Source organism: Homo sapiens, chromosome 11 (assembly GCF_000001405.40).
Source record: "Homo sapiens chromosome 11, GRCh38.p14 Primary Assembly".
Classification (NCBI taxonomy): domain Eukaryota; kingdom Metazoa; phylum Chordata; class Mammalia; order Primates; family Hominidae; genus Homo; species Homo sapiens.
The window spans coordinates 80909219-80923723 of NC_000011.10; positions in this window are offsets into that span (position 1 = coordinate 80909219).

Sequence of the window (14505 nt, forward strand, 5' to 3'; positions counted from 1 at the left end):
TAAAAAACATTTAAATAAATTAAAAAAAAGTTAAAAAGATTTTTTAAAAGATAATTGGTAAAAAGGGAGAGAAAACCACATTTTCCAAAGTCATATTTACTGTTCTAAACTTTCACTATAATCTACTGAAGAGTTAGAACAATCCCACAGATGGGAATCAGCATACCCAGACTTGCCCTCTTTCGGTGTGGCCTTGGGCATGTTACTTCACTATTCCTAGCTTTGGTTTCTCCATCCTAAAAATTACAGTACTGAAATAGGTCAGTGTTCTTAAAACTGTGTTTTCTAAGCACTGGGAGATCAGAACAAACTGAAGAATGATCTTCGTGGTGGAACTGAACAGACAAGAATTGAACAAACAAGAATCTCATCCCCACACAGATCAGCTCTCCTTATAGAACTCTTAATATAATGTAGTTCTACAGAAGAAGCCAAACCAAATCAAAATAAATAAACACAATCCAGTCTGAAAAATCTTTAGGCTAGATGATATCTGTGGTCACTTTTACCATGGCTTTCTCAAATATTGAGCTCCACATATGGAGCATTCTGTACTACTACTTTCTGTGATTATAATGATAATCAATAGCAATAAAGACCTTAGACACTACAAATTTCAAACTTCAAGCTATATTCAATGCACTTTTGGTATTAAGAATCTTTCAGTTCCAATGATTTGAAAGCAGATAAGCCATTCTTATTGCTTATGCTAACTCTGTGTGTGTATGTATCTCAATCTAATAATTTGAGCAATTTCATGATACAGCTAGCATTTTTGAGTGTTTGCTCTGTGTCACCTAGTATATTAAAAGCTTAAAATGTATTTTCTAGTTCAATCCTTAGAAAAACTCTTTTAAGTAATATTATTATTCCCAACCCAGAAATGCATAAACTCTAGCACAAATAATTTAACTAGCTTGCTCATGAGCCACAGGTAGTAAAAGGCAAGGGTGGGATTTGAACCTAAGTCTACTTGTCTATGACTTTATGTTGTACTTATCCTATGAGGAGATTCAAATAATCAGATAGTTATCAGATGGAGCAATTAAAATATATAGATCTCTTTGATACATAAAAAAAATAAAATTAAAAAAAAACGAGGATATTAAATCCCTCTGTGAGAAGAGCTAGGCTTTCTCCAGCAGGAAAGTTTCATCCAATGAGTAGGAAGAAGGAGAGTTTAAGGTTTGCTCAGAATCATGGGGGCAATGGTATGCACTGTGAAACACTATTACTTTATTTCCTTATTTGATTTTTCAAATGTGAGCTTGGCTGAAAGTCTTTAGCTAAGTTAATGACATTAAAACAAACAACAGCATATGCTAAGTGAACTGCTATAGTCAAAAGCAGTGACAACTGTGTATGTTTTCGGAAGGTGGTAAGATATGAAATAGGGAAAGTATGATGAAACAGATATCCCATTGTAATGCCACCTCCTCGACCGAGAAGACTAATAACTACTTAATGGGTGTTGACTCCAAAGATGCTTCATTTTAATCTTTTAATTGCATATGAATAAAGCTTTAATGGAGCAGATTAGATCCACGGCACAATAATCTAAAGAGACCTGGATAGTGTGTTTCTACAAACTCTGAGCAGGTCAGTAGCTGGATGACTCCTTATAATTCAAAGATACTCATCCCTTTTATTAATAATTGTTTAAGCAATTCAGTCAAAAAATAAGGGATCACCATACAATGACCCCTATGATTCAGACTGTTATATTCAGAAAATCTTCTTATAACTCTTGAAGCGATGGTAACTTGCATCCTAAATTGAGTTTTAGAGCTGCTCTGTCTTAATACAGGCTTTCACAGGTGAAACAGTTTCTCGGGATGTTAGCTAACTAACAACTCAACCCCAGTCTGGGCTGTTCATTTTTATTTTGCAGCTTTATTCATTATCTATTCTCAACAAGTATCTGTGAAGGTTGAAGAATAAGAATTATCACAAAATTTATTTAAATAAAGTTTTTACAGAAAAAAGAGAGAGAGAGTAGACAAGGGAAGGACCTTGACCTCAACTTTTTCCTTAACTATGAATCATTGACACAAAACATTGTATTTTTAAATTTTTCTCATGAGGTATAATTAGAAATTCCAATGAAAAATACTAAGGAATAAACGTAGAAACAGAAGATAAACATGACTAATATGAGAGAGATTTGTTAGCTATTGTAAGATTTTACCTTTTTGATAACTAAATGTCATGAACAACTGATTTTTATAGCATTCTCAGCCAATAAGCACAGGAAACATATAGTATTAATAAAAATAATACTATACAAATGAATAGTGTTAATCCATTCATAGGCTCTTCTAATCCTTCTATTATATGCTAATGCATCTGGCATGGAATTCTATTTATTCTGTTTCTTTTTTCAATGTTTCTCCTGATTTCTTTGTCAAATTCAACATCTTTAAAGGTAAATAATATTTCATTTTACCAACATGCTACAATTGTTTGTTCATTTTTCAGAGTAGGTAGTTGAGCTACTTCAAAATGACATTATTTTGCAGGTGACAGATCTTTACAACTTTGACAAGTTCCTGATTTTCACATGACAATAATTTTTATCTCACCTTCTTGAAAAATGCATGCTAAGACTGTGAGCTTTGGGGTTAATTTGTGGTTTTAGCCCCTACATTTTCACATTTAAGGGAAACATCTGTCCTACTAGTCATTGTTGTTTTTATGTCAACTGACAATGCATTCAAATACTGATTAAAATAAGAAGACGCCATGGGCTTCCAGTGCATATCAAACAGAAGAACAATGAACATCCAGATTACATTAGAAGGACTGTGACTGAAGACATTTAGAGTATGTGTTGATAGGGTAATTACTAGGTGGAGTAAATTGCAACGTAGAAGCCTCAAAAAGTACTTGTATAGTTTCTTTTCCACAAAAGAGGTCTTGTGTTTGAAAAAAAAAAAAGAAGCTTTTAAATTCTAGTAACTTCCAAAATCAATTGCATCAAGTTCAATTGTAAGAATATTTTTAGTGTTCCTCTCTGAAATGCATAATACATATTAATTTTGAGTGAATAATTTTTAGTACTGGAAACCATACCTGATCTGGTGGTTTCTTCTTCACTCCATGCAGTGAGAATCAATAGATTGATGTGGAGAGACAGTTACCTGGGGTGATCTAAAATGAAAAAGGCATTTTAAAATTAGGAAAAGAAACCTGCAAACTTCAATAATAATGGCCTCATTATAGGATGTTTTTCAGTCAATCAGCAGCATTTACTGTGTATCCACTGTGTACTGAGCCCAGTTTTATGTGGAGATGCAAAAGAAAGAGTAGAGAGAATCTAGCTTAATGCTGATAAATACTTGTGAAATAAATGAATAGTAAATGAAAATAGAAAAAAAATCATAATCATTTTTCTGGATGACTAGTTGGTATAAATTATTTGGGAAGGAAAGATATCACATATTTGATATATGTATTTATGTAATCATTCAAAAATATTTTAATTTGTATCACTTTTTATATGCTGAGCAGAGAGACATAGTACCTCCGAGCTTAAAGCTTTGGTTTCAAGGTGTATATACACTGGGGATGCATAAAGAAACTAAAATTTCTGAGATCTCACTGTGTTCAGTGTTTGCCTTTATGAAGCTTATTGGGGTAATCACTTTTGTCTCTCAGAAATATCTTATTTCAACATGGTTATTTACACGGCAACTGGGATTAAGGTAATGAACACCATTTATAGTAGTGTCAAACTCAAGCCTGCTACTGATATCAGTTTACTTTGACCATGACCCGGGGGTAGTTACTAGACAATTCACCAAAGGCTATAGGCAAACCAAAGATATGTATGGCAAACGGATAAAGAAGATCACTAAAAATGATATAGGCCAATGAAACAAGACTTCATGTTTTATTTCTCATTATTGGATTTACAGTTAGAATGTGTTTGGCACACAGTGAATACTTAATAAAAGCAAGCTAAATTAATAAGTGAGGAACGCCAGGAAGATGTTACTCAAATATCTATATCAAATATGCACCCAAATAATAGAAATGCTTAGCACCATCTTTGAATTATCTATGATTATAATCTTTATTTAAAATAAATAATAGCATTGTATTTATAATTGGAAGAAAACATTATTTTGCCAGCTATAGCCATAGCAGTTTTAAATACACACAGAAACTTCTTAAATAGAGGTCCCTTGTTTTAATGTAATTTGATGGAGTTTTTAAAGTTTTTAATTGATGTTTTTTAAAGATGAACTGCTTTCTACAAGAGAAAAAGAAGAATTTGGAGATCCCAGGTACTCTGAAAGGTAGAAGGGATAAGATGAGGGGAGGAGAACAGAGGAGGAAGAAGAGGAAAGAAGGAATCAATGAAATGGATGGCCATTCCCAAAGACTTCCAAATTTTCAGTAACATAGACAAAATTCATGTATAATGTGAATATAGACATACTTTTGTATATATTGGAAAAAGGAATGCATTTCAGATGGAATTTACACAGCTTGGAAGAATATAAACTCCCTAGGTAATTAACACACATTTTAAGAAGAGCTATTTAAATTTCATATGCCATGAAATTCAGAGAGGTATTCAAAAAATTTCATATAGATTAAAGATCTTGAAGAACATAAATACCACAATATTATTTATGCAATATAAAATATAAATATTAATCTCAGTGTGGTAGGCTGAATAACCACCCCCCGCTCCAAGATGTGCACCTTCCAGTCTCTAGAGCCTGTGAATATTCCCACACGTGGCAAAAGGGACTGTACAGATGTGATTAAATTAAGGATCTTGAGATGAAGACATTGTTCTGGATTATCTGGGTAGGCCCAAATATAACCAGAAAGGTCCTTATAAGTAACAGATGGAGCAAGAGGGACCATCACAGAGAGATTTGAATATGCTATGCTGCTGGTTTTCAGATGATAGAAGGGACCATATAAGCAAAGGATGCAGGGGCCTGTAGAAATTGAAAAAGGCCAGGAAAAAAATTCTCCCCTAAAGACTCTAAATTTATGCAAAATTGTTAGACCAACAATAAGCAACTAATACACTAAGTAAAATCTTGATTAACTAGGAGTCAAATTTGGATTGAGACTATCAGAAGTTTTCAACACATGGTCAAATAATAAGAAAACAATCAGATTGTTTAGGTATATGGAGAGGGAGAGGATACACACCACTGAAGTGAAGCCCTTAATATGGTAAATTTTATTTTATGTAAAATTTTATATTATGCAAATTATATCTAAAAAACAATAAATCACCTGTGAATAAAGATTGCACAATAATAAGCAAGTTTTATTTTAATCTATTGTTTGAACCATTTCAATGCAACACTAATCTATTTTCTTCTGTTTTCTGAAAATATGATGATGATAATCATAACAATTTTGAAGACAATAACCGTGGTGCTTTTTGTCCATCCTGAATCTTTTAAAGTCTATTCCTAACCTAAAGAAATATAATACATTAAAGAAAAAAAACACTTTCTAAATATAATACTCACCATTCAATTACTTGATTCTGACCCACTACGGAGTCTGATCCATTCCCCAACATTATTCCTTACTTCTTTTTGACCGCCTTATTTTTTTACTGATTTCTATCCAACTTAACCTCAGCCCCAGATTCTTTTTGTCAACCTGATTCTACTCTGAATACCGCTTTCACCTCTGCTCCAGAGTGACTCTGTGATCTGCCTTTCAAGAGGGACCTAGTGCCTGGGCTTGGCTTTCCTCTACACTGAGATACAACTAGACAGTCCACCCCCAAATCCAGAGCAGATAATGGAAAGTATCTTTCTCCACATCATCATCATCAGGATATTGGTCAATATCATAATAGAAAGAAAAATGGAATTATGAAAAAAGTAAGTAGGTCAAGATAGTGCCTGTAAGGAAGGCTTTTTTCTGTGGTGGAACCTTGAAGATAGTAAGGAGCTTGGTACATATGATGGGGAGACACGAGCTCAGATGTGGAGAGAGAGAGCAAATGAAGATGGTCCAGAAAATCCAGCTCCATCTTACTATAGCCCACAGCTAATAGTATTGTTCTAGAGATTAGAGAAGATGGGAGAAAAAAATAAAACCTGATTCAGCTTAGCAGTTTTTCAGTTAACAATATTGAACACTGTATCAATAAAATATTACTCCAAGCATCCATCACAAAGATCACAATGAAAGAAAGAGATTTGAGTGTTCAGTGCTCTGAAAATTTTTATAACTTTCACTTCTTGGATTCACATTTAAGAGGACTGTGTCAACAGAAATCTTAGGAATATATTTTATATTTTATGAAGTAGCACTTTTATTTGTAAGCTGATATTTAGTGACTGTGATGGGCCAAGAATTGTGATAATTACTTTCTGCGTATCATATTATTTAGTCATCATAACAAATGCAAAATTTGGTACTATCTTTTTTATTTTATAAACTTCAAAACTAAAGATCAAAGAAATTAAATAACTTTATCCGATTGGTAAACATTGATACAGATTCAATTTCATGTCTGTCCTACTATAAACTTGTGCTTTAAACCCTTTGGGGATATAACATCTTTTTATATACAAATAGTGTAGCATGTTGCCACTACTAAAGCCAAAATTTCAGCTTTAAAAAAAGACCATTTGGGTCTTCTATAAAACGTAGATAATGTTATTCACAAGGCAGAGTGTCTTTGTGCTATATTTATTGCCTTTTTCTCTCATTTGAGGACATATGCCTGATAGAAAATAGCTGAATTTTCTCATAGAGAGAGCCCTTTCCTTCTTTCAGCATTTTGCCACTATTGCAAAAAGATTGTCCCAATTTCAAAGAACAGATGCAACGACTAATGGCAAATAAGTAATGGAAGCTTTTATCGGTGACTCAGTAAGTTTCAAAACTTAAAATATATAGAAAAGTGTCACTCTGGAAAACAGAATTATTTAAAGCCGCTCCTAATATTTCAGCTTGGCTGCAGACAAGTAAAGTGATGCCAGAAATTAACAAAACACATCAGGTTCAGAGAGCTATAATTAATCTTGTCAGTGGATGTGGCAGGACAGATTCCTATTTAAACTTGCATCTTGATGAGACTTCTCCCTCATTTACTGTATCAGTACAAAACTCACTAGGGACTCAAGGGATCTAAATCCATCAGAGTGGTTTTATAGTCCAGTTCATGCTTGTTGCATGCCCTGACTTGTGCTTGGTGGAATTAAATATTTAACTAACAGTGACCATGGTGTTGTTGAAAAAGCGGCAGCTTTTAGTGCATTTTTTATACACACTGTTGAGGAACAAATATAAAATTAAAAAGTCTCTGTCCAAGACCTGAGATAGAATTAATGGTCAGGGGGAAAATGCAATCTGTGCTTAGTTCCTGTAACTGAATTATATTACAAAGCTTTCTAAATATAGGTATGCATCATAGTCTGCAATGGTTAGAGTGAAATGTGAAGGATCATAAGCAATAATTCTATCATTAAATTTTAATGTGGAAGCACAACTTGGATAAGAAAGCATGCTTCTAAACCTTATAATACTAGAGAAGGCAAATTATTTTGAAACCTGAGACATGAGTTAAATTATTATCTTTTGGTACCACTTAAAACAGACAAAACAATTGTAGTTATGAGAAAAATGAAGATCTCTTAGTAAACAAATGGGTAAATTATAGAGTTTTATTTTGATCAGACTTATTTCTTGTTATTTAATTTGCTCTAGAAAAACATTTAAAAAGAAAAAGACTAAAAGAATGCAGTTAATTGTTAGTTTTGCTCATATGCTTTCTATTTGCCATTGTTCTTACTTTTTAAGTTTCTGTTGTTAACCAATAAAGCACAGCATGACACTAGGTTGTAATATGACATGCCCTTTATTCATTTATTTAATTAACATTACAATAAAGTTAATAAAATAGAGAAGTGTTTCTATTATCAGAATAGCAAAAATGACAAAAGAAGAACAGTTTAAATTCTCAAATTTAAGTCCAAGTAATTTGTAATCTGCATAGTGTCAGAGAGGTAGGGTATGATCTATTCTGTGATGTGCATTAGAATAGTGGAAAGCAAAACAGAAATAAATATATAAGAATATATATATATATAATATGCATAGCAGGTAAAAGTCTAGGACTTACTGGATCCAGTTACAGTGATTTCTTGATATTCTACGTAGGAACCTCCTTGATTTAATGTGAGAGTAATTTTAGATAACTGCTATTCTTTGGGCCCATTTTAGGCCAGTTGCCTTGAATTGGCACCAAACATTAATTTTCTTTGTATTTTATTGAATATGAACACTATATTATATGCTTATTTTGTCTATTTGTTGATTATTTGTCTTCGCTACGATGGAGGTTTTACGGTGATAATGATTGTCTCTCTTTCAGCCTTTTTACACAAAGACTTTTGAAGATTGATTTACTTTGATTGTTTGTGAGGACCCAAAGACCATCTGATGTCTAACATGCAGACATCAGACCGTAATTGTTTTTCTCTAGGTGCTTCAATCCAGGTTTATCAAGCGTTCAGACCCATGGGGATAAAGGAAGTAGTGATCATTTATCATCATAAAGGTTTGAGAAGTTTTCCCAGAGCAGCTGTATTCACAATTTTATGTATTTTCTCATGCATAGTTACTCTGGAATCTGTTTCTTTCTCTACCTTTATTTCTTCATAATGTTTTGTTCACTTGCTAATGTTTACTCTACTCATTCCAAATTTCTTCTACTTTCTAGAATGCATCCCATGCTTCACTGTCTCTGGTCCTTCAGTCCATCTGTCTGAAATAGTCTTTTCCTTCGATCTCACTGCTGTGTTCAGCTGGTGGGCTTTTACTCATCCTTAAGGTCAGTCCAGGTGTCACTTCTTTTGAGAAATCTTTTTCTGAGTCTCTGAATCTAGGTTTGGTGTCTCTGTTATATGATCTCATATTATCACTGATGTTCCCATCACAAGGTTTACCATTCCTATCACCACCTCCATTATAATTACTTGAGTGACAGCTTCCAATGGAGAAGAAGCTCCCTGAAGGCCTAGTCCACTACATGGTTATTCATCTTTCTGTCTCCACATATTTATTACATCTCTAATATATGCATAAATATATATATATATAAACATATTTTATGTATAGTGGTAAATAATTTGGACCTTATCCAGTGATGAGTAGAAATATCACTATGTCATGAAAATATATGATCACTAATATTCTCTGAAAAACTGGAAAATGCCAAATTCTTTAACATACTTTTTTTATAAAGAAAAGAAAGATTCAAAATATGAAAACAACCTTCCATTTAATATACTCTTGGGATATCTCTCTCAGGTCTGGGTCCTGAGATGCCAAATTTTTGTCATCTAGAGAGCTCAGATATGCAGTTCAGCTCTTCACTGATCACACTGGATTCATAGGTGAGCTAATCTGCAGGCTTTTATGACACTTGCTTTATGGTATGAGTGTTGGAGGCTGTTACCACTTTTCACTAAAAGGAGATAAGACCACAATCAGAATGATCTGCAATACTATCAGAAAGATTATAACATGCATTTTGCCATATTATAATGTTGTATGATTCAATATTTTTCTAGGTGATTATTTTCTCATAGTTACTTATTTAATTATTCTATAAAACACCCTTCTACCACTGTTACAATTTTGTTTTATGCTTCTCAAGATTTGTATACCTTTCTGAGGCACTCAGCAAGGTGTGCCTCATAAGGTGCTGTTAGTCTGTGTTGCTGTGTAACTCTAAGCTCCTCAGTCTCTTCTATTTTTGAAAAACATTTGAGGAACAAATATGCCCTTGTGTCACATATCCACCTCATGCTGGTTTCTGTAATGCCTGAGATCTGAGTCACAATGTCACCCAATTAAATTATGACAGGGATTAGATCTAAAGTGGCAGGTGCAATATGAGACATATTAATTGATACATATAAATTATGATATAGAGACTAGGCACATGAGCCAAGGTTTTTGGATTTGATTACCACCAATGTGTTCATGTTTCAACTCCTTATATCACTCCTATCTGTGACTGGTGTCTGAAATCAAAGGATTCTAATGTGATTTAATCAACCAATAAGCTGTAATTAAGCTGTGACTGAGCTTCTTTGATCTCTGAGACTGCTGGTCTCTGAGACAGCCATCACTGTGGGAGGACCCCTGAATGGGGGAGAAACCACTACTTTTAAATGGCTACTAAGTACCAGCCATTGTGAGAACTTCTTCGACATACATTATTGAGACAAGTCCGAGAGGTAGGGATTACTACTCCAGTTTTACACATGTGGAAACCGAGGTTCAAGTTAAGTTTTAGAGCAACCAGGGAAGGCATTTGGAGTTTGAATCCAGTTATGTCCAAAGCCCAGGCAGCCAAGGAACAATAGTGCTGCTGAAGCTATAATTAGGAGCAGGTTACATACACCTTTTCTCTCTATTGCAATCACTTAGGGAGACTAGGAAGAGGCAGATGAAAATGACAGATGCTTCCCCAGGAAACATAAAAATTTATTATTCTTTTATATAATTCATGGACTCTCTGAAACTCATCCACAGATGCCTGGATCTCAGATTAAGAACTCACAACCTACAAGGCAGAAACCCAGTCTCATTAATTTTTGTTTCCCATTTGGTGCCTAGGATCTCTGCTAGGCACAGACTAGGCACAGGTCAACAATATAAAGATTGTTGAATAGAAAAAAGAAATTAATGAATGAAAGACTAAATAAAGTATTTCTTCACTCTTCATTGTTAAACCAAATTATGCCTATTCAGGTGTTTATCTTACTTATATATCACTGAGTCTCATGATATAAAATTTGTTGATTATCTCCTAAATGCCATGTTCTTGTTAGTCTATTATTTAAGTTAATCCTTATCATAGCTTTCAGTCGTATAAATCTTATAGTCAACATTAGAATAGTGCCTGATACAGAGTGGGAAAAATTAAGTTATAGAAAAAATACAATATGTGTTCAGTAATACTAGCATTTATTATACACTTATATGTAATACACAAATTTAAATGCCTTACATATATTATCCTAGGTTAACCCTCACAACCTATGAAGCATGTGTTCATACTAATTTTGTTTTACTAAAGATATAGCTGAGATTTGGGGCAAATAAAATGTTTTGTCCTTGGTCAAAAAGCTATTAAGGAACAGAACCAAGATTTGAATCTGGTGATTTCTGACCTTAAATCTCATGGAACGTGAGACACAGAGAGAAAATAACGTGTCTAGAGCCACACAGCTACTAGGTCAAAGTAGGAAGATTATGCCCACTGTTCTTTTCACTACAACATTTTCATTCTACATTCCATCATTGTTATGGACTAAATATTGTGCCCCTACCAAAATAAAATTCATATGTTGAAATGTTAGTCTCTGATGTGATGATGCTAGGTGGAGGGGCCTTTTGAAAGTAATTAGATCATGAGGGTGGAACCTCAAGAATAGAATTAGTGCTCTTATAAGGAGAAACACAAGAGCTTGCTTTCTTTCTCTCTGCTCCCTGCCATGTAAGGCTACAAAAAGAAGACAGCTATCTATAAACCACAAAATGAGCCTTCACCAGACACCAGGTCTCCTAGCATAGTGTCTTGGACTTCACAGTCTCTAGAACTATGAGAACAAATGTTTGTTGTTTCAGCCCTGTCTACAGTAATTTTTTATAGCAGCTGAAATGAACCAAAACAATGCTTTAACATTATAAAACTGATAGGCATCACTTTCCTGCTAGCCCTGATTTATATAATGTGTTGGCACTAAAGCTGTGGTCTCTGTAGGTCAAGAAAAGACAGAGACTAACTTGACTTACAAAACTTAGGAGTTTCATTAACCTTATGATGCTCCCAACATTTCTGGAATAGAGACATCAAATATACTGCAAATGCTTAAACTTGACCTAAAGCTTATTTAGGCTAGAGAACTTCTCATATTTCTCCATTTTCATCTCAGTTTGTTTCTGTACTGAAACTACAGCAATTGCATTCCATAATAACCAGTCAAAAGAACTATCAAAAGAGGCAAAATATACCTCTTGGCATTTTATTTTATGAGATTTGATTAATTATAACACTATCTATTAGAACGTATGTAAAAAGTAAAGTAGGGGATCCTCTTCAAAGACTTTCCTCCACATCTAATTAGGAATAAATAGTAACTTCTCTTAGAAGCAAAATTTATTCAAAGTCCTGTGCTAACATTCTTAAATATTTGCTAGCTGTAATAAAGAAATCAATGTACTTTATGTAAGAACATTATGTAAGAACATAAAGTACATTGCTCCCACAATTTAGCCTAAATATTTGCCCTGGCATGCTTATACTGGTCCAAGCAAGCATTAGGTCATAGCCTGTTCCTCTTCTTTATTTGAAGGTGTTTTTACCTTTCTCAGCATTCCACAATTTACTTCCTCCTTCCTTTGTTCTCTTCTGCCTTTGCCTCTTTTAAAAAGTTCTAAGTTGATAGCCAATCAGGACAAATACAGGATGTGAGGTCCCATTCCAGTCAATGGAAACTAGACACAGCAATAGGATGGATGCATCAGGTTATAAATGACACTGTCTCCTTTGTTCGGTGTACTCTCATGGCAAAACTGCTGGCGAGTGTACCCTTTCCGCAGAAAGTAAAAAATTGCCTTCCTGAGGAAATTGATGTCCAAGTGCTATTTCTTTATGGCACCAGGGAATAAACATTTCTAACAATGTAGAATTTGAAGCTATTTCTAGGCTTCTGACATTATAATACCTAATTATATGTTTTAAGTCCATGTGTGCTTTCCCCATACATTAATTACAAAGTTACATACACTCCCCTTAACAAATAAAAGTAAATTTTAAACTACAGGAAAACATAAAGTGTGGATTTTTACATCAAAAAGACAAGTATTTAAATCTTGTCTTCATTCATTGATAGTTGTGAAAACTTTGGCAACATATCTCTAATCTAAATCACAGTTATATCCCCAGTAAAACAGAGATAGTAGGAAGGTTTCTCATAGTTATAGATATTAATGTAAGATAATATAAGTAAAGCACTGGGAATAGTTCCTGCATATAAAAAGTACTTAATACATATTAATTTTATTAAATAAGCATCTTATATTCTTCCTAAGACTTAGACTCGCTTGCTATGTGGTAGTCTCAGATCTCTCTCTCTCTCTATTTATTTTCCTACCTATTTCTACCTATCTATTTATCCATTCAGCCATGTATTCTTTTATCTAAATTAGTCTCATTTAGTCTTCATCCTGATGTTTCATTGTTATCCCCATTTCATGAAAGAGAAAACTAAAGCTCAGAGAGGTTAAATAATTTGTACAAAATCACACATTTAGTAAAACTGAATTTCCTTGCATATATCTTTTTCTGTCTTTGACTACTATGATCATAAAGGAATCATAGACAGTTCCATTACAAACAGAAAACAAAATATGCACAACGGCCTTGCCCCAATGCTACTTAAAGCTTCTGTAGCAGGCCTTATGCAAAGAATATAGAGCTCAAAATTTGAGCTAAGTTTAAACCCTGGGTAACTATGATCAATTAAATCACTTAACCTCTCAGAGACTCATTTTTGTCTCATCTACCAAATGGGAATAAAATAATATAGGGACCCTTGCTAGGTTCATATCTTTTCCGATAAAGAACCTTTTCCATACAGTATATAAACGGCCTAAGTGCTGTAAAGAGATGACTTTGTACTCCAGGTGAAATGCCTACTGCAGGACTATGTATTTTAGGTTATCAAAAATCCCTGTAAGCAGCAAGCATTCAATAGATGTTTGTTGATTAGTTTAATAAAACATTTTGGAAACAATTTACAGAATAACAGGTAAATCCATAGATTTGGATCTTTAAAGTTCAAAGTCTATTACATATGCGGCTCCTGCCTGGCAATGAATTTTTCTTTCACTATCCTTCAGTGTCCCAGGTCCAATACTTTGTTCATTTAACCCTATTTAGCCAAATGCTGTCTCGTTCATTAGGTTATGTGGAGGAACTATTATGGTCAATTTGTGTAGCTTGGCAACAGCTAAAATTACAATGGAGATTCCATAATCACTACTATTTAAGTTTATGAACATTTTTGAGAAAGTAACACAAAGTGACTTTCATAAGAATTTAAGAGAGTTTGATTAGCATTATAAATTATGTTTTTGTGACTTTTTCAGTGTTTTTCCACTTCAGTGCGAATGTGATTGAGAAGGCAGCTGTCATCTCTTATCATGCGACAGACAAAAATTGTTATTGTTATTAACTTTATGAATTTATCGAATTATTAGTTGTAAGCTCCAAATGCATTTTTAAAAAGAAGGACTGAAGTACACAGACTAGGAAATATAGCTTTGTGAATTGTCTTGCAGTTTACATTTCTACTGACAATTCTAATCATTTGTTCAAATACAAAACCTTGTTTTTATTGAACAAGTTAGGGCTTAGTTAAGAAACTCAAATAAAATTTCCTTAGTTCCTTTTCATTTCACATTATCATGCCATCTGTCACTAAA